General features: G+C 50.1%; 1 protein-coding gene across 3 annotated transcripts in view, besides 1 other annotated feature; it reads left to right on the top strand.

The window, feature by feature from the left end:
• FBP1 (fructose-bisphosphatase 1) overlaps positions 6382-23144 on the top strand; it is a 37131-nt gene continuing 20368 nt past the window's right edge. Inside the window, exons 1-2 of one of the 3 annotated variants that reach the window (NM_001127628.2) lie at positions 6382-6601; positions 7311-7504. In NM_001127628.2, the coding sequence (NP_001121100.1) occupies positions 7335-7504 (170 nt within the window). In that variant the 5' untranslated portion in view covers positions 6382-6601; positions 7311-7334. Of the gene's footprint in view, positions 6602-7126; positions 7505-23144 lie in introns of those variants that run through there. The other 2 variants (XM_006717005.5, NM_000507.4) reach the window with 2 other exon arrangements.
• Positions 6994-7053: a silencer, noted in NCBI's record as "silent region_20057". NCBI's record gives its function as "represses an Ori minimal core promoter by ATAC-STARR-seq in GM12878 lymphoblastoid cells {active_cell/tissue: GM12878}" and the evidence as "EXISTENCE:reporter gene assay evidence [ECO:0000049][PMID:35858748]".

The raw sequence follows: 23144 nt of genomic DNA, 5'->3' as shown, positions 1-23144 counted from the left end.
GTAACAGAGCACTAATGTGTGTAATTACTTACACCTTTTATAAATTGGAGGAGGTCTGTGCTATCACTATAACAATTCTTGGCCAGGGAATGGTCACCTCTCTGGACCAGGAAGAGTTCCACACTGGATTTTTGCTGGAACTAGAGGGAAAGGAAGCTGGGCTGACTGAGCACAGTTCTGGGGATACCTGTGGCCATACATGGGGCTTCAAGGGGAGAGAGTGTCTGAGAGTGATGCCACACAGAGGAAAGGAAAGCCGAGAGATGCAGACAGACCCTGCTTCCCCGCAGTTTCTGGCCTTCCTTGCTGATGACGGTGGGTGCTGTGGGATGCCTTGCAGCTCCTCATTAAGGACAAAGAAGGGGCTCCCAGCTCTTGGGACTGCTGCCGGTGGGCGGTGCTCAGCTGTCATCCGTCTTTGGAACTGCCTCTGCTGATGACAGCTAACTCTCCCACGTCACGCCCCTTCCCAGGACAGCCAATAGCCCATGACATGTTGGCCTGGAGGTCTAACTTCCAGGCCTCTTTGCCCCAACTCAGGACAGCTCTGCAGAGTCATCTTAGCTTCAGAGGAGCTCCCCGCAGGGCTGGCTGAGCTCTTTACTACAACTGCATCATGGTTCAGTTGCCCTCTGCCCCATCCTGCTGCTGCAATCATCAGCCTGTTCCTAATATTATCAGCAGGGGGGAGAAAATACAGCTAGTTTCCTAGGAGAGAGGACCCCTGGAACATGAGGTGGAGCAGATGGGTGGAATCGTGGAAATAGAGCATGGGGTTATAAGGAGCCTCAAGGGGCCACCAGGTCCAGAACAGGAAGGGAAGAACTTCAAAATCTTGCCACCTGAGGAGCAGCTGGAGGAGCTGAAAATATTTAACTGGAGAAGTAAAGATGTATGGGGAATATGACAGCGGGCTTCACATATTTGACTGTAAATCAAGTAGAGGTTAGGTCAGACTCCTTCTGCTGGGTCTCCTGGCTTCTGCTCTTGACCACCTACGGTCCATTCTCACACCGTTTAGTAAGTCATGTCGCTCCCCAGCTTAAAACCCTCCCATCTTCTTTTTTTCTTGAGACAGAGTCTCGCTCTGTCACCCAGGCTGGAGTGCAGTGGCGCGATCTCAGCTCACTGCAAGCTCCGCCTCCCGGATTCATGCCATTCTCCTGCCTCAGCTTCCCAAGTAGCTGGGACTACAGGTGCCCGCCACCACGCCAGGCTAATTTTTTTGTATTTTTAGTAGAGACGGGGTTTCACCACGTTAGCCAGGATAGTCTCAATCTCCTGACCTCGTGATCCGCCTGCCTCGGCCTCCCAAAGTGCTGGGATTACAGGCGTGAGCCACTGCACCTGGCCTCCCCTGTCTTCTGGCTGCATGAATAGAACCTGAGCGACTTGCTGTGAGGCCTTTCATAATCTGCCCTCGTCTCTCTTTCCAACTTTATCTCCTGTGGTTCTTCCCTCACTTGCCCTTCAGGCCACACTGGCCTTCTCCCAGCTGATCCTTGAATGCACCAGGGTCTTTGCACCTGCCGTAGCCTTGCTTGTTCTTCTGTATGTTCCTCTATGAGCTCTTCATTTGCCCCATTCCTTTCTGTTGTTCAGTCTCTGATCAAAAGTCATTTCATAAGAAAGGCTTTGAGTTTTTACCTCATCCTGCTTTACAGTCTTCATAGCACTCTGCTCCCTGAAACAGTTTTGTGTCTTTGTTGGTTAAATGATTTTTTTTCTTATCTCCCCCACAAAGAATATAAACCTAAAGTGGACTGAGCTGTGTCTGTCCTGTTCACCACTGCAACCTCAGGGTGTGGTATGGTTTTGGCATACAGCAGGTGTTCAAAAACTATGTGTTGAGTGAAAGAATGAATGAACATGAGCCCAGAAATAGCTCTAGAGTCCAGAGAGCTGCCGTAGGCGGGCTCAGAGCCTTGCCTGTCCCTGGAGGCATGACGTGGAGGGAAACTGCCACTTAGGAAAGAACCAGCAAGTCAGTGGGAATATGGGGTTTGGAATCAGACAGATGAGGGTTTGAGTCTTTGTTCTGTCACTTCCTGCCTGGCTGCAGGCCTTGGACAGGTTATTTGACCTTGTTGGCCGGGCGTGGTGGCTCACATCTGTAATTCCAGCCCTTTGGGAGGCCGAGGCGGGCAGATTACCTGAGGTTGGGAGTTTGAGACCAGCCTGACCAACATGGTGAAATCCCATCTCTACTAAAAATACAAAAATTGGGCCAAGCACAGTGGCTCACGCCTGTAATCTCAGCACTTTGGGAGGCTGAGGTGGGTGGATCACGAGGTCAGGAGATTGAGACCATCCTGGCTAACACAGTGAAACCCCATCTCTACTAAAAATACAAAAAATTAGCTGGGCGAAGTGGCGGGGGCCTGTAGTCCCAGCTACTCAGGAGGCTGAGGCAGGAGAATGGTGTGAACCTGGGAGGCGGAGCTTGCAGTGAGCCGAGATCATGCCACTGCACTCCAGCCTGGACGACAGAGTGAGACTCTATCTCAAAAAAAAAAAAAAGAAAAGAAAAGAAAAGGAAAAGAAAGAAAAGCCTCAGTCCCTTCATCTGTAAAGACAGGGGTTTGATTAGAAGCCACCCCAGAGTGGTTCTGGATTGATTAAAGGCTGCTTCTGAAGCCCTGGGCAAGTGCCACACCCTTAGCAAGTGCTAAATAGATGTTTGCTGTTTAGTTTCCACACCAGGCCCCCGGGGCCACAGGAGCTGGGGGAGGTGTTTAAGGAAGGACCATGCTACTGCAATCCCTCTCACATACACCACTTGGCTTTTGTTTTTCTTTTTGTGTTTTTGTTAGAGACACACTCTCACTCTATTGCCTAGGCTGGAGTGCAGTGCTGTGATCACGGCTCACCGCAGCCTCGACCTCTTGGGCTCAAGTGATCCTCCTCCTTCAGCCTCTCCAGTAGCTGAGACTACAGGCATGCGCCACCACTCCTGGGTAATTTTTAAATTTTTTTAGAGACAGTGTTTTCCTTATGTTGTCCAGGCCGCTTTTAAAATTCCTGGGCTCAAGTGGTCTGTCTGCCTCGGCAACCCAGAGCATTGGGATTACAGGTGTGTGCACTGTGCCTGGCCTGTTTTTCTTTCCTGTGGCACTAACCGCCCCCACAGAGGGGAAAGTAAGCAGTGGAGCCCTGGGTTGAGGGCGGCTGTTGTAGGGGCAGGGACTGTCCACACTGTTACTTCTCCACTGCCCGCCTCCAACATAACCCCATCGTGGGAGCTGGGTGAGGAAATGCATGAGCACTGATTCTTCGCAGGATTTCGAGTGTTACACATGTGGTAATACTGCTCACATCACTTGAATCTGCAATCCCATGTGAAGTTGGAGTATGTGGCAAGAAGCAACTCTGCGAGGGTGGTGGGTGGAGGAGGGAGGGGCCCAACCCACAGGCCAGGAACCCATGTGAGGTGGCCGCCTTCCTCTGTCTCTTGCTAATACCTGGGTGATGGGCTTTATGCATCTTGACCCAGAAAAGAGCGAGTCACAATCGACCAATATGATGGAGGGGATATCACTGCACACCAGGCAAATACAGGCTCAGCTGCCAATTCCCACATCCCTCTAGCCCCTTTTGATGGCCAGGGAACTTTCTTGCTTCTGTTCACATGAAAACAACAGTTGGCCCTACCCATGTAACGAAGCAAACACTTACATACTGTGTACTTACTACATGCTGGGCACTGTTCTTAAACACTACCAGCACTGCCTGTATAATTCTCCCAGCAACCCTATGAGGTGGCTACAATCATTAGCCCCAGTTTACAGATGAGCCAATGGTTGCTTGGTGAGGTTTAGCCAATTGCACAGGCTTGCACAGCCAGTAAGTGGCCAGGCCAGGGTTTGGACCCAAGCCATGCAGCCCCAGAGTCTGTGCACTTCACCACAATGCGACGTGGCCTAGTCCCAAGGGGAATGGCTTGCCTTGTAGGCAATGAGCTGCCCATCATCGTGGGTGACAAGCAGAAGTGACTGAGCTAGACAGGGGTCTCCTCCACGTATTCAGTGTGTCCCCTGTGTGTAGCTCTGAGCTAAGCACTCTGCCAATGCCATCTCATTTCAGCCCGATGACACCACTGCCAGATGGAACCATTATTCCACTATATGGATGAACAAACTGGGTTTACAGAGATTAGGTAACTGGTCCGAGATCTCTGGCTGCTGAGGGCTGGAGCTGGGACTCAAACAAGTTTGCTTAATGCAGATCCCAAGCTCTTCACCTCTTATCAGGGATGGTGTCCAATGAGGGTTGGCTGGACTAGATGACTTTTACGGTCCTAGCCAATCCAAGATCCTGAGGGACTGAGAGTCTGGCAAGTAAAGGGGCACACTCCCCTAGTTACTAGCTCTAGCTCTCCCCTAGTAACTAGTTACTATGCCAAAAATACTAGTCATCACATTTCAGTTCTTTTTTTTTTTTTTGAGATTGAATCTCGCTCTGTTGCCCAGGCTGGAGTGCAGCGGCAGGATCTTGACTCACTGCAACTTCTGTCTCCCGGGTTCAAGCGATTCTCCTGCCTCAGCCTCCTGAGTAGCTGGAATTACAGGTGCACACCACCATGCCCGGCTAATTTTTTATTTTAGTAGAGATGGGTTTCACCATGTTGGCCAGGCTGGTCTTGAACTCCTGACCTCAAGATCTGCCCGCCTCAGCCTCCAGTTTGTTTGTTTTTCTTTTTTTTTTTTTTTTTTGAGATGGAGTTTTGTTCTTGATGCCCAGGCTGGACTGCAATGGTGCCATCTCTGCTCACTGCAATCTCCGCCTCCCAGGTTCAAGCGATTCTCCTGCCTCAGCCTCCTGAGTAGCTGGAATTACAGGCATGCACCACCATGCCCAGCTAATTTTTGTACTTTTAGTAGAGACGGGGTTTCTCCATGTTGGTCAGGCTGGTCTCGAGCTCCCAACCTCAGGTGATCTGCCCGCCTCGGCCTCCCAAAGTGAAGTGCTGGGATTACAGGTGTGAGCCAGTGAGCCGGGCCTATTTGAGTTTTTATGTTTAAGGATGTATTTCTCTTACTATTTTTTTTAACACAGGGTTTTTCCTGAAAAGTTGCCTGAGGAACAAAGAGTTAAATAAGACCCTTAAAGGATCAACTCTCTTTGCCAGGCATCTAAGTCCCCTCTGGGGCTTTGAGGAGACAGTCGCTGTCTTTCCTGGTGGTACCACCACCTTCCTTCATTCAACGCCGCCGCATCTGACAACCCTGGGCACAGGAATCTGCACCCCAGGTCTCCACGGTGAATCCAGCAGTCAATTTTCAGAGCTTGTCCTGCCTGCCCCATCCACACCGCTTGGCACATGGGTCAGCCCGCCTTTACTTACCTTCTTCATCTGGCTTCCCGGATGTCACATCTCTTGGTTTTTGGTTGGTTTTTCCAGTTGGCTTTTCCAATTTATACCTGCAGCATGGATCTCTCCTCTGAACTCCAGATACATAAATCTGTCTATTTGACATTGCCTTGGATGTCTAGAAGGCATTTCAAACTTAGCAGGTCCCACACTTAGCTCCTAATTGTCAGTCCTGCCTCCAGCACACGCCCCTCTCGGTGTTCCCCATCGCAGTCGAGGACAACTGCATTCTTCTAGTTTCTCAGGCCTCAAACCTTAGAATCATCCGAGACTCCTGTCTCTCACATATCTCATCTGTCAACGAATCCCATCAGCTCTACCTTCAAAATATGTCCAGAATCCACCACCTCCACTGCTAACACCTGGCTCACTATCTCCTAGTAACCTGGAGGGCACTGTCTTCAGTCTGATCTTCACACAGTAGCCGCAGTATGAAGACACAGGGTAGACCATGCCTCTCTTCTTCTCCAAACTCTCCAGTGGGTTCCTCCTAGTCAAAGTCAAACCTCACTTGGCCCTCTAGACCTCACCTCTGCATCCTCCCGCTGGCCTTATCTCCTCCACCTCTGACCCTTGCTAGCTCTATTTCAGCTCCACCGGTCTCCTGGCCATTCCCTGAACCTGAAACATGGTCTCCTACCCCAGGGCCTGTGCACTGGCTCTCCCGGTGAGGAAACCGCTCTCCTTCCCATCTCCACCGGCGCGTTGCATCCTTCACCTCTTTGCTCACATATCCCTTTCTCAGAGAAGCTTTTACTGAGGCCTCTGCTCACCCTCTTCTCCCCTCCACATTCCGTGTCTTCCTTTTCTATTTCGTTTCTCTCTATGGTACTTATGGCTTATGTAACAAACTAATCTATTGTTTATATATTTATTTTTACTGTTTCTCTGTGAAAACGTACACTCGAAAAGGGCAGGAGTTTTGTCTGTTTGGATCAGGCTCCACCCCTGGAAGGTAGGACAGTGTTCAGCACAGCAGGTGCTCAATAGGTGTTGTTTCGTGAATCAGCACATCAATTGCAGCATTGTGGCTACCAGGGGGTCAGGATGCGGGCGGTGGAGCCCTCTGGCCTTTGTGTGGTAGCCGAGGACTCTGTGTCAGCGACCGTTTTCCGGGAAACTTCCGGGCGAGACTCACATCTTGGAAATTCAAATACTCAATAGCTCTCGAATTCTAGGAATCTTGAGAAGAGGCCTGGATTAAGGATTCAGACGTGGGCCCTCAGATGGGTGAGAAACGGGGACTCTGTGTCTCCTAGCGGGGACAGAAGGGCCAGGTGACAGGCCAGGCAGAGTGGACGGGGCTTGGGCAGGGGGCGGGGGCAGGCAGCCACACGGGGCAGGAGCTGCAGAGCTAAAGCCAGGCCATGTGGACTGGCTGCGGGTTTCGCTGCCTAGCTGGTGGCATTGAGCAAGTTACTTAACCTTTCTGAACTTCCGTTTTATGATTTTGGAGGAAACAGTCATAGCTTTCTCTCTGGCAGAGTCCGATGGCCCGAGTCCCGCTCCACAGTGCGGGTGGAGGGCACGGAGGGGTGTGTGTGGGGGGCGACAGCCCAGGAAGACTAGGGGGCGGCAGGGCGCGTGGGGGCGGGGGTTGGGAGACCGCAGGGAGGATCCCCGACCTTGTCTGAAGATCCAAGCAGGCGGAGCCGCGGTCTGGTCCGCGGGGTAGGCGGGGCGCAAGAGTGTTCCCGGGGGCGGGGGGCCGACCCGCGTCTAAAGGTTTCCGCGATTCACCCGCCGGCGCCTGGCCTGGCCCAGTTGCACCACGAGCGCTGCGGACACTCGGGGCGGCAGTCGGTCTGTCAGTCCTCCCGCCAGGTCCCGCGGCCCGCACCTGCCGCCCGCACCTGCAGCTCCGCACCTGCGGCCAGTGCCTACTGCCCTCTCTTGCCGCCCGCACCTGCAGCCCCGCACCTGCCGCTTGCACCTGCAGCCCCGCGCTCTACCCGGTTCAAGCATGGCTGACCAGGCGCCCTTCGACACGGACGTCAACACCCTGACCCGCTTCGTCATGGAGGAGGGCAGGAAGGCCCGCGGCACGGGCGAGTTGACCCAGCTGCTCAACTCGCTCTGCACAGCAGTCAAAGCCATCTCTTCGGCGGTGCGCAAGGCGGGCATCGCGCACCTGTGAGTCGGGCCTTGGGCGGTGGGCCCCGTCCTGTCTGTCTGCCTGGGGAGCCTGCCCGGCGGGCTGACGTTGGGCCCTCTGAGCCTCCTGCCGTCAGCCTCTGTCTGTCCGTCTGATGTCTGAGCGCCTCTCTCGCTCTCTGTCTGGTAGCCCCTCTCTCCAGAAGCTGGCTCAGCCTCACTCAAGTCCTCATCTCCTCCCTTGACCTTGGAGGGGCCCACCTGGGGGTCCGTCTCACAGGTGTACACCTGATTCCATCTTGCATTCCTCTTCTCTGCCCTGAGCAGCCTGCCTCGTACCCCTCTCAGCCGGCCAAGTGTGGGCACCTGGCCTGCCCGTCATACCCGCCCTAGCCTCAGACAGGAAAGTGCTAGCTCAGGTGCCTTCCTTCCCCATTTCTTCTTTGTCCTCCTTCACTCTTTCTGCAATTAGGGACCCAAGTCAGGTTTCTAATCCAGTTATCTCTGACCTGAAACAAGACCTGTTAGGAGCGAGTGTCCCCCCCGCCCCCCCCGCAAGCAGGCTGGGAGGTCTCCTGTGTGTCCAGAGCCTTTAGGAGCAGCAGGGCTTGTGTGCAAAGGAGCTCCCGTGGGCTGCCCCTTGCTGGGACAGTTGCCATGCTGTGCCAGAAACAGGAAACACCCAGGGCTTCAAAACCCCTATCGATTTGCAATGATGGTGTGTGCAGCCTCTGCCCAATTAGTGGAAAGCTCAAAAGTGGTTTGTAGAATGGTTCTGAATGCGCTATGGAGTGCATCTCGAACGTCACTGGGCACAGGAATCATTTGGGGATCTTGGTAAGATGTGTGCCCTCCTTCCATAGCTCTGGGACAGGTCCTGAGATTCTGCATTTCTAAGAAGTTCTCCTGTGGTGGGTGCTGCCCATCAGATACTGTTTGTCTACTCATCACATTGTGAGTAGCAAGGGGTCAAGTGGAGTGGAGACTCAAAGGACCCCTTCTTGTGAGGTTTTTTGTAAGTCACACAACATCCTTTCGTTTGTGTTGGTGTGCACAGGTATTTTCTTTTTCTTTTCTTTTTTTTTTTTTTTTTGAGATGGAATTTTGCTCTTGTTGCCCAGGCTGGAGTGCAATGGTGCGATCTTGGCTCACCGCAACCTCTGCCTCCCAGGTTCAAGCGATTCTCCTGCCTCAGTCTCCCGAGTAGCTGGGATTACAGGCATGTGCCACCATGCCCAGCTAATTTTGTAATTTTTTTTAGTAGAAACGGGGTTTCTCCATGTTGGTCAGGCTGGTCTCGAACTCCCGACCTCCGGTGATGCCTTGGCCTCCCAAAGTGCTGGGATTACAGGCATGAGCCGCCGTGCGCAGGTATTTTCTAGCTAACTGATCCACACTTTTAACTGAAGTGTAACTGGGTTTTCAGATTGTCCATACACTTTACTAACATTCCCCGCACTTATGCACACTATAAAAATGACACATGATGGGCTGGGCGCGTAGGCTCTAGCCTGTCATCCCAGCACTTTGGGAGGCCGAAACAGGTGGATTGCCTGAGGTCAGGAGTTCAAGACCAACCTGATCAACATGGTGAAACCCCGTCTCTACCAAAAATTAGCTGGGTGTGGTGGCAGGCGCCTGTAATCCCAGCTACTCGGGAGGCTGAGGAAGGAGAATTGCTTGAACCCAGGAGGCAGAGGTTGCAGTGAGCCGAGATCGCATCATTGCACTCCAGCCTGCGCGACAAGAGCGTGACTTTGTCTTAAAAAAAAAAAAAAAAGACGCATGATGCTCAGAGCTGACCTGAACAAATACAACCCTGCTACTTGGGTTTGGAATGCATTTCTCCATTCTTAAAAACTCTTCTCCGCCCCGCATCCTGCAATCTAGATTCCTTTTCTTACTGGCAGGCTGTCTGGCTTTGGTCCCACAGTATGGACTGGTGGAGGTAATTCATGTAAAGGAGTGGTATGATCACATTTATTTTTGAATATTAAGCAGACATGTTAAGGAAGGTGATGACTCCATTACTGTTGCCTCTGGCCCCTCTTAATAATACATTCCTAAGGATTCTTATTTTAGAAACATACCCAGGTGAAATCTTAAGCTTTAATTTACAGCTAGTATAGGTGGCTCACAGCTTTAACTGCCTTTGAGGACCAGGGATATATTTTAAAAAGAGGGCTTGTCGACTGGGTGTGGTGGCTCACACCTGTAATCCCAGCACTTTGGGAGGCTGAGACGGGTAGATCACTCAAAGTCCAGGTGTTTGAGACCAGCCTGGCCAACATGGTGAAACCCTGTCTCTACTAAAAACACAAAAATTAGCCAGGCATGGTGGCAGGCGCCTGTAATCCCAGCTACTTGGGAGGCTGAGGCAGGAGAATTGCTTGAACCCGGGAGGCGGAGGTTGCAGTGAGCCCAGATCGTGCCACTCTACTCCAGCCTGGCGACCGAGTAAGACTCTGTCTCAAAAAAAGAAAAAAAAGGGCTTGTCATGTCTGATATTGTTTAAAAAATGTGTCAGTACCTTTCACACCCCTAGAGAGACTGAGAAATGTAAGATGTGTTTTGAGGTGTCCCACTGTCTAAGTAACCTTAGACAGTGGGACCTTGGATAGTGAGATTTTGATGGTGGGGCCTGGATGAAGCATGTTAATTTTGGCTACGTAAGGTATGCGTTTTATTTATTTATTTATTTTGAGATAGAGTCGCACTCTGTTGCCCAGGCTGGAGTGCAGTGGTGTGATAATGGCTCACTGCAGCCTCAACCTCCCAGGCTGAATTGGTGCTCCCACCTCAGCCTCCCCTGTAGCTGGGACTACAGGCATGTGCCACCATGCCGGATAATTTTTGTGTTTTTGTAGAGATGGGGTTTTGTTATGTTGCCCAGGCTGGTCTCAAATTCCTGGGCTCAAGCGATCTGCCCACCTTGGCCTCCCAAAATGCTGGGATTACAGGTATGAGCCACTGTGCCTGGCCAATATGTGTACTTTTATACTAGATAGTTGTGAATACCAGGTTTTAAAGAAATACTATGTTGCACTCATTGACAAAAATTTAAACCATTCAAAAGAATTCAAGGGAAGAGTGAAACCCACCCCATATATATCCCATGGGGTATCCACTGCAAATAATTTACTGCTTATTTTTCCGGATACTCTTTTACAGTCATATAAGTTTACACATGAACACATATTTACATATGCCTATAATAGCAGACAAAATGGGATCACAATACACATTTCTGTAGTTTGCTTTGTTATTTAACATTATTCAAGAAACATCCATTAATATCGGGACATCTACATCTACCTCCTTTTAACTGCTGTGTGCTGCTCCCCTGCACACATCATGAGGTATTGAAGTTTTTCTCTATTTTGGGGCACTTTGGTTTTTACTAGCCTTTGGGTATTACAGTGCTGTACCCTTGGAACTGGTGTGCATGCCTGGTTGTTGGGGTAGCTGACAGGACTAGATGCTGGACACTGAGGTGATCTTGTGGGAAGTTCAGCGTTTGGCCATTTTCAGTATCACATGTCATCAGGCAGGTAGCATGATTCTCAAGCCAGGCCCCCAACCTACATTCATTCCAGGCATTGAAATCCAGAAAGAAAAACCAGCATTCCTGCAAAGATCTTGTTAGTGCTGAAGACCGGACCTAGAAGAGCATGTACCCAGAGGGACGGGGTGATTGCAGATTTGCAGGAACCTCACTGGAGCCAGTTTAGGGAGCTCACCCAGGATCATTATGGAAACATCAGGAGTTTAAGCACAGAGCCTGGTGTAACCTAAAGTTGCTATTGTAGTCACTTTCATTGCTCCTGTTAAAATGTTCATGGAATCATTGAGTTTTAGACTGAAAGAGACTCAACAGTCAGCTAGTCTATCACCTCCTCATACAGAAGAGGACCCTGAGACCGAGGAAGATGAGATGACTTGGCCTGTGGCCGGGATCTCAGGAACCCCGGATTGGAGGTCTTTTGGCCACACTACACATCTCTTCCTTTATTTTTTAGAAATCAATTAGAATTCACCAAACTCTAAATCTCATCTATTAGTTAACTGGTTTTTTTTTTTTTTTTTTTTTTTTGAGACAGGGCCTCACTCTCACTCAGGCTGGTGTGCAGTGGTGCAATCTCAGCTTACTGCAACCTCTGCCTCCCGGGTTCAAGTGATTCTCCTGCCTCAATTTCCCGAGTAGCTGAGATTACAGGCGTACACTACCATACCTGGCTAATTTTTGTATTTTTAGTAGAGATGGGATTTTGCCAAGTTGACCAGGGTCGAACTGGCCTCAAGTGATCCACCTGCCTCGGCCTCCCAAAGTGCTGGGATTAGAAGTGTGAGCCACTGCGCCCGGCCTAATTTTTGTATTTTTAGTAGAGACAGGGTTTAGCCATGTTGGCCAGGCGACATTTTTGATGTGAATTCAGGCTTAGATACCAAGGAGTCATTGCTTTGGGCAAATGTGCCCTGGGAGACTTCCCTCTGGGCTTCTGGCTCCCTCCATCCACTCTTGGGAGAGAAACTGTGCAGATCAGAACAGTCTGCAACTTGAAGTCAAGCTGATGAAGTTGTGGTTCAAATGTCAAATTCGAGTGTTGTCCACTTTGCATTCCTTTGGGAGAAAGTGGTGCTCCAGTGGCTTCAGGTTTTTTGTTTTGTGGAGTTGACTTCCCTTTGTATCCATTTCCAAATCACTGACTGAAGAATTCACTGATTTCATTCAATTAACAAAATATTACTGAACATCCACCATGTACAAAGTTCCAGAAGACGAGAACAACACAGAGTTTACTCTGTAGGAAAAAATATTTGTATCGTTCTAACACGCAATAGAGGTTTTGAAAGATGCTTTCTTTTTCTTTCTTTTTTTTTTTTTTGAGGCAGAGTCTCGCTCTGTTGCCCTTGCTGGAGTGCAGTGGGGCGATCTCAGCTCACTGCAACCTCCGCCTCCCGGGTTCATGCCATTCTCCTGCCTCAGCCTCCCATAGCTGGGATTACAGGCGCCCACCACCAAGCCCAGCTAATTTTTTTGTATTTTCAGTAGAGACGGGGTTTCTCCATGTTGGTCAGGCTGGTCTCAAACTCCTGACCTCAGGTGATCTGCCCGCCCCGGCCTCCCAAAGTCCTGGGATTACAGGCGTGAGCCACTGCGCCCGGTCTGAAAGATGCTTTCGCGGTGGCTCACGCCTGTAATCCTAGCGCTTTGGGAGGCCGAGTCGGGCGGATCACGAGGTCAGGAGATCGAGACCATCCTGGCCAACACGGTGAAACCCCGTCTCTACCAAAAAATACAAAAAAATTAGCCGGGCGTGGTGGCGGGCGCCTGTAATCCCAGCTACTTGGGAGGCTGAGGCAGGAGAATGTTGTGAATCTGGGAGGCGGAGCTTGCAGTGAGCCGAGATCGCGCCACTGCACTCCAGCCTGGGCGACATAGGGAGACTCCGTCTCAAAAAAAAAAGAAAGATGCTTTCATAGAGGTGCCAAAAATACGATTCATGGTGAAGGACTGTGGAGCGCCAAGAATGGGCACGTGCAGGGGAAGCAAAAGGCCCGGCGGCTGGACCGCAGTTCAGGCTGGAGGTCACAGGGGGAGGAGTCCTGAGGTGGGAAAGTGTTTCTGGAAAAGTTGCCCACTCAATTTGACCAAAGCATGGAGTACTCATGGTAGGGCGTTCGTGGATGTGAAATTGTGGGTACATTGGGGAAGCATCAAATGGCAAGGGTGAACACTTTACACTTTTGGGGGTATAGAAAAGGAGAGATCAAGGATTTTGAAAGTTTTTTGAGTGGGGCAGTTGCGTGACTGGAGACAAATCTGGAGAAGGTGTGGCTGGAAGTATATCGGAAGAGCGAAAGATAGGATATGGGAAAACCAGTGGCAAGGGGGAGCCGTCAGTTGAGTAGCCAGCAGAGCTGCAGCCTTGGAGGGGAGAGGAAGGATTTGGAAGAAGTCTGAGCATGGATTAGATGAGAAGGGCTGTGAGGGAGTTTCTGAAATCGCTGGTCCTAGCAATTGAATGCAGAGCCCATGCCACCACAAAACAAAACAACACAAAAACAAAAACAAGGAGGAGCTGGTTTTTAGTCTGGGGAAGGAGGGAAGATGATCCCAACATTTTGGAAACGCTGAACTTGAGATGTTAGAGGGTGATCTGTTGGGAGATGCTGTCCAGCTGCAGGCTGTTTTGCCTGTCTGTTTTGGCACGCTTGCCCTGAGGCAGAGAAAAGAGGAGGAGATCTGGACCAGTTTAGCAGACAGGAATGTGCAGGGATTCAGAGCACGTTTTGGAGAGAGATGGAGCCAAGCTTAGATTCCTGGCCCTGCCATTCAACGTCTGTGAGGATTGGGCTGTTGATGTGACATCACTGAACCTGTTTCTCCAATTGTTAAGATGGAGACAGCCTCAGAGACTCGTAGGAGGATCAATTAAGTTTACTAATTGGGTACCAATGTTATTAATATCATTGTTTTCCTGAAGGCTATATTTCTTTATTTTTCAGACAGAGTCTAGCTCTGTCACCCAGGCTGGAGGGCTGTGGTGTGGTGTGATCTCGGTTCACTGCAACCTCCACCTCCAAGGTTCAGGTGATTTTCCTGCCTCAGCCTTCCAGGTAGCTGGGATTATAGGTTCCTGCCACCACACTCAACTAATTTTTGTATTTTTAGTAGAGACGGGGTTTCACTATGTTGGCCAGTCTGGTCTTGAACTCCTCACTTCGTCATCCACCCGCCTCAGCCTCCCAAAGTGCTGGGCTTACAAGTGTGAGCCACCGTGCCTGGTCTATTTTATTTTCATTTTTTTGTAAACTTTTATTTGCATGTTTTGTTCTTCATTTCTTAGCAGTAGCCTGTATGCTATCAGCAGGGAGAGAGTCCAGGCTAGCATGTTACATATTAGAACAATGTTGCACCCAAGAGTGGCTGCAGGAAATGTCCTCCCATCAGACTCATATTATGTCCAGAAGAGTTACTTTTATATATGGGGTCCTCTCAGCTGTTTGACAGAAGAAATAATAAAGAGCTTCAGATTTCGTTTTAGAATGACACGTCAGCTAATACACGTTTAGGCTTATCTTCCAATTTGCAGTTTTTGGCATTAAGCTTTTAGAAACTTTACCAGATTTATTTTATGTTTCTTGAATTCTCTTCTCCACATGACCAAGGAGTGAAATTGCAAGTTTGTTTGCATAAAAGAAGCGCAGACAGCCACGTTCCATCCTGTTTACCAGTTTAGGCCCCGGTGAATGCAAGCAGAGGCAGGTATTTGTGACCTTTGAAAGCAGCTCTCACTAGCACCTCTTCAATGTATTTCTGAACCTTTGGATGTTCCTGGCTGGGCAAATGGTTGATTACCATGGAATCAAGCAGTAACAAGCCAGTCTTACCTTTGACTTTAGTGATAAGGATTAAGTAATAATCTCCCTCCCTTTTGGTTGAGCTGCGTGTTCCGAGCCCGAGTCTGGTTCTTCTGTGTGCTGTGTGAAGTGTTGCTGCTGCAATCGTGTTACTCAGTCACAGTGACTTCGGGAGGAGATGGTCCTAAGTCAGCAGATCCAGGCAGCCCTGGAGGGCTCTAGTTCTGTCAGCCCCTGGCTCCAATCCTTGTGTCCTTCAGTGTTTTAGAGATGCTGTGGAAGGCAGCCTCCCCCAATCATCACAAATCTGCATGTTCAGTGTCACAAAGTCCATGGCTGTGAAATGGTTCATTCTGTTTTAGAAACCATTTGTAAACTTGGAAAACAATGCTAAAATTTAATTAAAATATCCAAGGATTTCAAAATACTGGCCACATTAATCTATGCTTCTAAGGTGTTCTCCATCATATGAATTAAAATGACTTAGAGCTCTTTAAATTTTTCAGTGGGATTTACAGTAAAAGTAAAGAAGAGATATTATAGGCAGTTTCTCCAGTTGAGTTCTGCTCCCCAAACTCCAGGAAGAGCTCCTTCGTATCTCTGGGGCTGGAAAGGGAAAGGACACAGAGACTTCAACCCTGCCTGGTGCTTTTCCACTTTACTTGGGCTGCAGGGCCAACTAATTTGAATAAAATTGAAGTGAAATGTCAAGAACATCTCAAATAAATAATATTCCCAGTGAGATTTTATCAAATGTAAACTTGGAGCACTTTTTTCTTCTTTTGCCAGTTCCTTATTGGCTGTCCTCCAAGAAGTTGCCTGCAAAACTGGTTTAGAGATACCTCCCCTTCCCCCAATCCCCAGATCAACCCACACTTACTTAGTGGATGCCTGCGGGGCTCTATTGTCATGTGGCTGCCTTGGTGGGGAGTACTATGAACCAGGTGCACCGCGCGCATTATCCATGATCCCCACAAACATGGCCAGAAACAGCCACTCAGGGGCTTTGCACAACTTGATGTCACATCATCAGTAAGAAGCAAAGGCAGAATTTGAACTGAGGTCTTTCTGGTGCTGAGTTCTTGCTTCTCCGCATGGTTGTGTTATGCCAAGGGAGCTAGAGGTGGAAACGGTAATATTTCTTGCACACTTGCCTATGCACCAGGCACTTTTCTGACCACTTTACCTGTATCAACTCAGTTATGCCCCCTCTCTGTAGACTATGAAGCAGACACACTACATTCCCATATTGCAGATGAACCAGAGGTCACAGATGCTAAGTGACTTTCCCCGGCTGCTGAGCATGGAGCAGAGCTGGGATTGGAACCCTGGTGGTGTAGAGTGCCAGCCTGGGGCCTTGACCATTACACTCTAGTTTCCTGAGGAACCGGGTGAAAGGCCATTGCATTTGTCTAACGCTAAGTTTGCACAGCAAACACACTTTTACCAAGAAGCTATGCTAATCTGGAGGGTTTTTTTCAGGAGTTGGGAGTGTTGGATGGTAGAGGTTATGCAGGCAGGCATTACCAATACCACTGGGTCTAATGGAGTTTATGATCTTAGGAATTCTTGGATCCTTTTATTACTCTCTAAATTTATTCATCCATTTACATTGAGAACTTACTATGTGCAGGCATTGTTCTAGGTGCTAAGGATACATGGTGAACAAAATATTCTTTTTTCCAGGATCAAGACTGATAGGTCTTTCTTCCTCCAGAGGCACATTCAGATGTGCCATGTTTATGTAAGAGTTTCGGTCCCCTTGGAGTATACACTCGGCATTTACCTGGTGCCCTGTACTTTTGCTTCAGACCTCACTAGAAAAACCTCTGGCTGCCTGTAAGGTTCTAATTTCGAATGTCCCAGGTAGAGGGCTGTGCCATCCTCAGGATGGCCCAACAGGTGAGGTGAGCTCAGAGGCCCTCCACTCTTGGCATTCTTGTACAAAGCAGGTTGGGCCCAGGCCTCTTAAGATCGAGGTTTTAGGTAGCATTTCCAGGGGTGGCAGCCCTGTCTGTGCCCTCCCTCCCAGTGGCTCTTAGAAGAGAGTGGGCCATTCCTAAGGCCATGAAGACAATGCCCCATAAAGGTCATGCTTCCATGCCTGAGGGCTCTCCCGGTCCTCTCTTGGTGGGGGTTGAGAGACTAGACCCTCCCCCCTACCTCCCCAGGAGTGGGGGTTATGTGATGTCACCAATGCTGGTGTCTCACTCTTGCACACATTTTCCAGGCTCCTGGCACCATGGAAGATCTCCTGGAGGCTGGTGCCTTCAGCTTCAGGCTCTGATCCTTCCTTGTTGCTTTAATTATCCGTCTTACCACCCAAATCAATTAACAGGCTTCCTAGTTAACAGGCTTCCATTTTCTAGGCCAAGGCTTGAGAGGTGAATTAGTTCTTCCAAGCAGCTGTGGTTTTATTTCCAGAAGCGCCCCCATATCAACAGCTGTGCCTATTCAATGGCCATGGATCTGTGAAGGGCACGAGCAGGACTCATGCTAATCAGCTCTGCTTTTTCTATATTAAAAAAAACCTTTGGCCAGGTGTGGTGGCTCACGCCTGTAATCCCAGCACTTTGGGAGGCCAAGATGGGCGGATCGTGGGGTCAGGAGTTCGACACCAGCCTGGTCAACATGGTGAGACCCTGTCTCTACTAAAAATACAAAAATTAGCCAGGTGTGGTGGCAGGTGCCTGTAATCCCAGCTACTCGGGAGGCTGAGACAGGAGAATCGCTTGAACCCGGGAGGGGGAGGTTGCAGTAAGCCAAGATCTCGCCATTGCACTCCAGCCTGGGTGACGGAGCGAGACTCTGTCTCAAAACAAACAAAAAACAACAACAAAAAGCCTTTAATTGAAATTACCCAATAGATTGCATGTAATATATACTTGTTTTATAAACTTGATACAACATAGAACGAGATTTTAAAGTATTTAAATATAGTGTGAATCATGATTAGTGTTTCCTCATCATTGTTCTCTTTGCTATTCTCAAGAAAATCTCAGCTTCAACTTGGATATATGGAAACCAAATATCCGGGTCTCTGGAACAGTGCAATTTAAAAGCATGTCCTAGAATTTTCAGCCGTGGTTTGAAAGCCACCTATTGATTCACACATGCCTGGAAGTAGCTGACATTTGTGCAACACTGTGCCCTGATTCGGCTGGGGCTCTGGGGTTCTATGCAGCCCGTTTGGCCTCCTTGCTGTGAGGTGCGGGGCATTTAAATTCTGTTGCCAACAGTAGCGGCCAGTGGTGCTCTGGCCTCAGCAGGTGCCCTGTTCTCTTGTTTGCTGCCTGCTACTTCTCAAGGAAGGCCTCAAGCCACTTTGCTCCTTATGCTCTGACATTTCTCCTCTTAGGCCCAATACAGAAAAGGTGGAGAAAACCTCACAATGTTGCCTTTCCCCTCTATGATAAATTTTTTTTTTTTTTTTGAGACAGAGTCTCTGTGGCCCGTTCTAGAGTGCAGTGGTGTGACCTTGGCTCACTGCAACCTTTGCCTCCTGGGTTCAAGCAATTCTTGTGCCTCGGCCTTCCAAGTAGCTGGGATTGTAGGCATGTGCCACCACACCTGGCTAATTTTTGTATTTTTAGTAGAGGTGGGCTTTGACCATGTTGGCAGGCTGGTCTCGAACTCCTGTCCTCAAGTGATCCACATGCCTTGGCCTCCCAAAATGTTGGGATCACAGGCATGAGCCACTGTGTCTGGCCACCTCTGTGATAACTTTTATTCAGAAAACATTTCCTTGGCAGATCAAGTCACTGGCTCAATCAAAATTGCCCTTCCTGCCCCTGCATGATCAGCCCCCAACTGCTACTGTTGACTCCTTTTCTGGCAGTGGGGCTGAGGGGCAGAGCAGGGGAGGGAGGTAGGGGAAGGGAGCTAGGCCTGGAGGTTTACATCTGGCTCAGTTCAGCCCATGTCTTGGCCATTTCACCTGTTCCTCTCCTTTAATTGTAAGGCACAGTTGGCCTGGGGAGGGCTTTTTTGGACAGGGTCGTGTGATGGTTTCCCATATCCCTCCAGCCTCATTTGCTGCCTTTTCCCATCCCTAGAGAATGGCAAATTGGGAGCTGATCTAGAAGGGAGCTGGGTGGTGTGTGCAAGGCTCCAGTCGAGTCCCACGGAGGGTAGTTGGTGTCATCACCTCTGGTTCACAGCTGCCTCCTGGAAACGCCTTCCAAGGCAGGATGGTCTTCTGGATCCACTGGGCTCTCCTGGAGTCTTCCTAGAACTTCAGACGGGGGATGGCAGCCGCTGCATTCGCTAGGGCTCAGGGCTGTCTCACCAGGAGCTGAGACCCACACCTGCTATTGACTCTAGGCTGCTGAGCCCGCCCTCTCTAGGTGGTGATTGGAATATAGAGTGAATGCTCTTGTTAATCTATCCTTCAGGGCCATTCAGGAATGATGACTGATCAGCAGGCAGACATTTATAATTTCTTTTCTTTTTCTTTCTGAGGTGGAATTTCACTCTTTTTTGCCCAGGCTGGAGTGCAGTGGTGTGATCTCGGCTCACTGCAACCTCCGCCTCCCGGGTTCAGGTGACTCTCCTATCTCAGCCTCCCTACTAGCTGGGATTACAGGCGCCCGCCACCACGCCCGGCTAATTTTTTTTTTTTTTTTTGAGATGGAGTTTCACTCTTGTTGCCCAGGCTGGAGTGCAATTGCGTGATCTCAGCTTACTGCAACCTCTGCCTCCCGGGTTCAAGCGATTCTCCTGCCTCAGCCTCCTGAGTAGCTGGGATTACAGGCACATGCCACCATACCCAGCTAAGTTTGTATTTTTAGTAGAGACAGGGTTTCTCCATGTTGGTCAGGCTGGTCTTGAACTCCCAGCCTCAGGTGATCCACCTGCCTCAGCCTCCCAAAGTGTTGGGATTACAGGTGTGAGCCACTGCGACTGGCCAATTTTTGTATTTTTAGTAGAGATGGGATTTCACCATGTTGGCCAGGCTGGTCTCGAAATCCTGAACCTCAGGTAATCCGCCTGCCTTAGCTTCCCAAAGTGCTGAGATTACAGGTGTGAGCCACTGTGCCTGGCCAGACATTTAGTATTTCTAAGGGGGCTTCTGAAAACTTATGGAGAAAATAAACTGCATGTGATCTTCAGCTAATTAAGTCCTTGAGCTTGTTTCTGAGGAATTTTTCCTCTCTCAGAATCACGGAAGCCTTGCCTGCTTGCCACTTTTCATTGACCTGTGTAAATGTGTTACTCGGGGAAATCTCAAGCCCTTCTTAGGGTCCCCGAGGTGTGACGGGGGAGGCTTGATGGAGCCTGCGTCTGGTCCTGACTGCTCATCATGGCTGTGCAGCCCTGACAGGACTAAGCCAGGGTGGTGGGACCAGCACGGTGTGGCCAGCTTAACTCACTGCGGCTCAGAGGAGACCTGGAGACATGAGGGACACCTGGACATTGTTGCTATCAACATGGCAGCATAGTTGGCTGGCAGCCGGGGGAATTTATTCTCTTGACCCACTGTTTCTACCTTAGGATCCTTTTCCTGTGCTTTTCTGGAAGCTTTTCCTAACGCCAGGATTAACCAGGAGAAGCCTTCCCTCAAGATATCTTAGCAAAGTTATAAAGTACGTGAACATTGAGTTGGAGCAGCCCAGAGTAATCTATCTTCATGTGTTCTCTTACACTTCAAAGACAACTGGAGGATAGCTGGAGAAGGGTCCTTCCTGCTAGAAGAGGGGAAGGACGCTTACTGGGGGTAAAGAGAAGAGGCGTTCCCAAGAAAGGGGCAGGAACCAGCTTAACGCATCTGTCACCACCCAGCGGGGTCATGGAAACGCGAAGCAGGTGGAGCCCATTTCCTGCCGTGGTTTGGTGGACGCAGGCAGCCCCATCCATGCAGGTGCTAAAGGCCCTGTGTGGCTTGGTGGATGCAGGCAGCCCTGTCCATGGAGGTGCTGAGGGTCCTGCGTGATTTGGTGGATGCGGGCGGCCCTGTCCTTGCAGGTGGTGAGGGTCCTGCGTGGTTTGGTGGACGCGGGCAGCTCCGTCATTCTTTCTTTTTGACGGAGTCTCGCTCTGTCGCCCAGGCTGGAGCGCAGGGGCGCCATCTGGGCTCACTGCAAGCTCCACTTCCCGGGTTCACGCCTTTCTCCTGCCTCAGCCTCCCGAGTAGCTGGGACCACAGGCGCCTGCCACCGTCCCCGGCTAATTTTTTGTATTTTTAGTAGAGACGGGGTTTCACTGTGTTAGCCAGGATGGTCTCGATCTCCTGACCTCGTGATCCGCTCGCCTCGGCCTCCCAAAGTGCTGGGATTACAGGCGTGAGCCACTGTGCCCGGCCCCAGCCCTGTCAGTTCTGTGGCGAGGGCCTGCATGGCTTGGTGGATGCGGGCAGCCCCGTCAGTTCTGTGGTGAGAGCCCCGCATGGCTTGGTGGATGCGGGCCGCCCTGTCCATGCAGGTGCTGAGGACCCTGTGCCATGCGTCCTTGCAGAGTGCTGTGTGGCCCCACAAGCCTACCATCGTGAACGGTGTACCACCCCTTCTGTGGCCCTCAGCTTCTCTGTGTTGGTTCCTCTGTGTGCCAAGGGTAGGAGCCATCTGAGACTCTTGGAATGGCAGTGGGGAGGGCTGGCTGGTGGTCATGATTTGCTAAGTCACCCACCCTGACACTGACTGTAACCTCTCGTAGGTCTGGGCATGATCTGGGGCAACAGAAGTTGCTTCTCACTTTAATCTGGCCAACTGCTGAGTCTGCAAGCTCGGAAAATGCAGTCCACTGCATGAGGAAATAGCCTACTTTCATTTAATCCCACAAAACAAGTCACGGTGCCCCTGTGTTTGGGACACAGTTACAGGATAACTTGTCTGTCTCTGGGTGGTGGGGCTGGCCCAGGAGTACTGCAAATCAGAGCCATCCTTACAAGGACTTTCTCCCTCCGGTCTCCTCTCTCTGAATTTAGATGCTTCCTGGATCCAGGCATCACAGGAAAAAGACCTCAGGCTTTACAAAATTACTTGTATAAATGTGCACATAGTACCCACTCCCTTCCATTTGGAAATATGTGAAAAATGTACTTACTGTTTCCTTTGGCTAAATTGCTAACAAACAGCTCTTCTCTGGAGTCATTACTAGCTGACTTATTTGGGCTTCTTTAGGGCTTTTTCATTTCCTCCCATTCTTTCTTTTTTTTATTTTTTTGAGACAGCGTTTCGCTCTTGTTGCCCAGGCTGGAGTGCAATGGTGCGATCTCGGCTCACTGCAACCTCCGCCTCCTGGGTTCAAGGGATTCTCCTGCCTCAGCTTCCCAAGTAGCTGGGATTACAGACATGTGCCACCACGCCCAGCTAATTTTTATGTATTTAGTAGAGATAGGACTTCACCATATTGGTCAGGCTGGTCTCAATTTTCTGACCTCAGGGGATCCACCCGCCTTGGCCTCCCAAAGTGCTGGGATTACAGGCGTGAGCCACCGTGCCTGGCCCATTTCCTCCTGTTCTTTTTTTTTTTTTTTTTTGAGATGGAGTCTCGCTTTGTCGCCCAGGCTGGAGTGCAGTGACGCAATCTCGGCTCACTGCAAGCTCCGCCTCCCGGGTTCACGCCATTCTTCTGCCTCAGCCTCCTGAGTAGCTGGGACTACAGGTGCCCGCCACCATGCCCGGCTAATTTTTTGTGTTTTTAGTAGAGAGAGGGCTTCACCATGTTGATCAGGCTGGTCTCGATCTCCTGACCTCAGGTGGATCCACCCACCTCGGCCTCCCAAAGTGCTGGGATTACAGGCATGAGCCACCGTGCCCGGCCTATTTCCTCCCATTCTTACGAAAAACATTCAAAGTACCATTCAGCTTGAATGCCCCCCTAGAGATCTTCCTGACCATCTAAATTAACCATCTAGCCTCTCATCTCCCTCTCCTGTCACCTTGTTTTTGTTTTATGTCAGCGAGCATCTGTCACTATCTGACATATCTTTTTCATTCCAAAACACTTATTTATTTCTTGTTTGTGCTCACCCCAGTAGAATATACGCTCCACAAGGGCGGGATCTGATCTACCGTGTTCGGCACTGTAACCCCAGCATCTAGAACGGTTCCCCGTGCACAGCAGGTCCCTGGTGAATATTTGTAGAATAAATGAGCACTCAGATAGCTGTCTAGGAAGATTTTGAGTAAAAGAGACCACATGGCCTGAGTGTTCCTGAGGGAAGTGCCTGAGCAGATGGGACTTGGGCCAAAAGGTAATATAGGACTTTCCTTCTGCACCTGCCTCAGTGCCTCATCCGTGTCCAGTGCCTTCGGCCCCTCTGCCCAGCCCTCCCGGCCCCCCGAGCTGTCCCTGTCAGGCTGCACCTATTAGT

The sequence above is a fragment of the Homo sapiens genome, chromosome 9 (genome assembly GCF_000001405.40).
Source record: "Homo sapiens chromosome 9, GRCh38.p14 Primary Assembly".
NCBI lineage: Eukaryota > Metazoa > Chordata > Mammalia > Primates > Hominidae > Homo > Homo sapiens.
The sequence above is the reverse complement of the archived record's forward strand: the minus strand, read 5'-3'. Positions and strand labels throughout refer to the sequence as shown.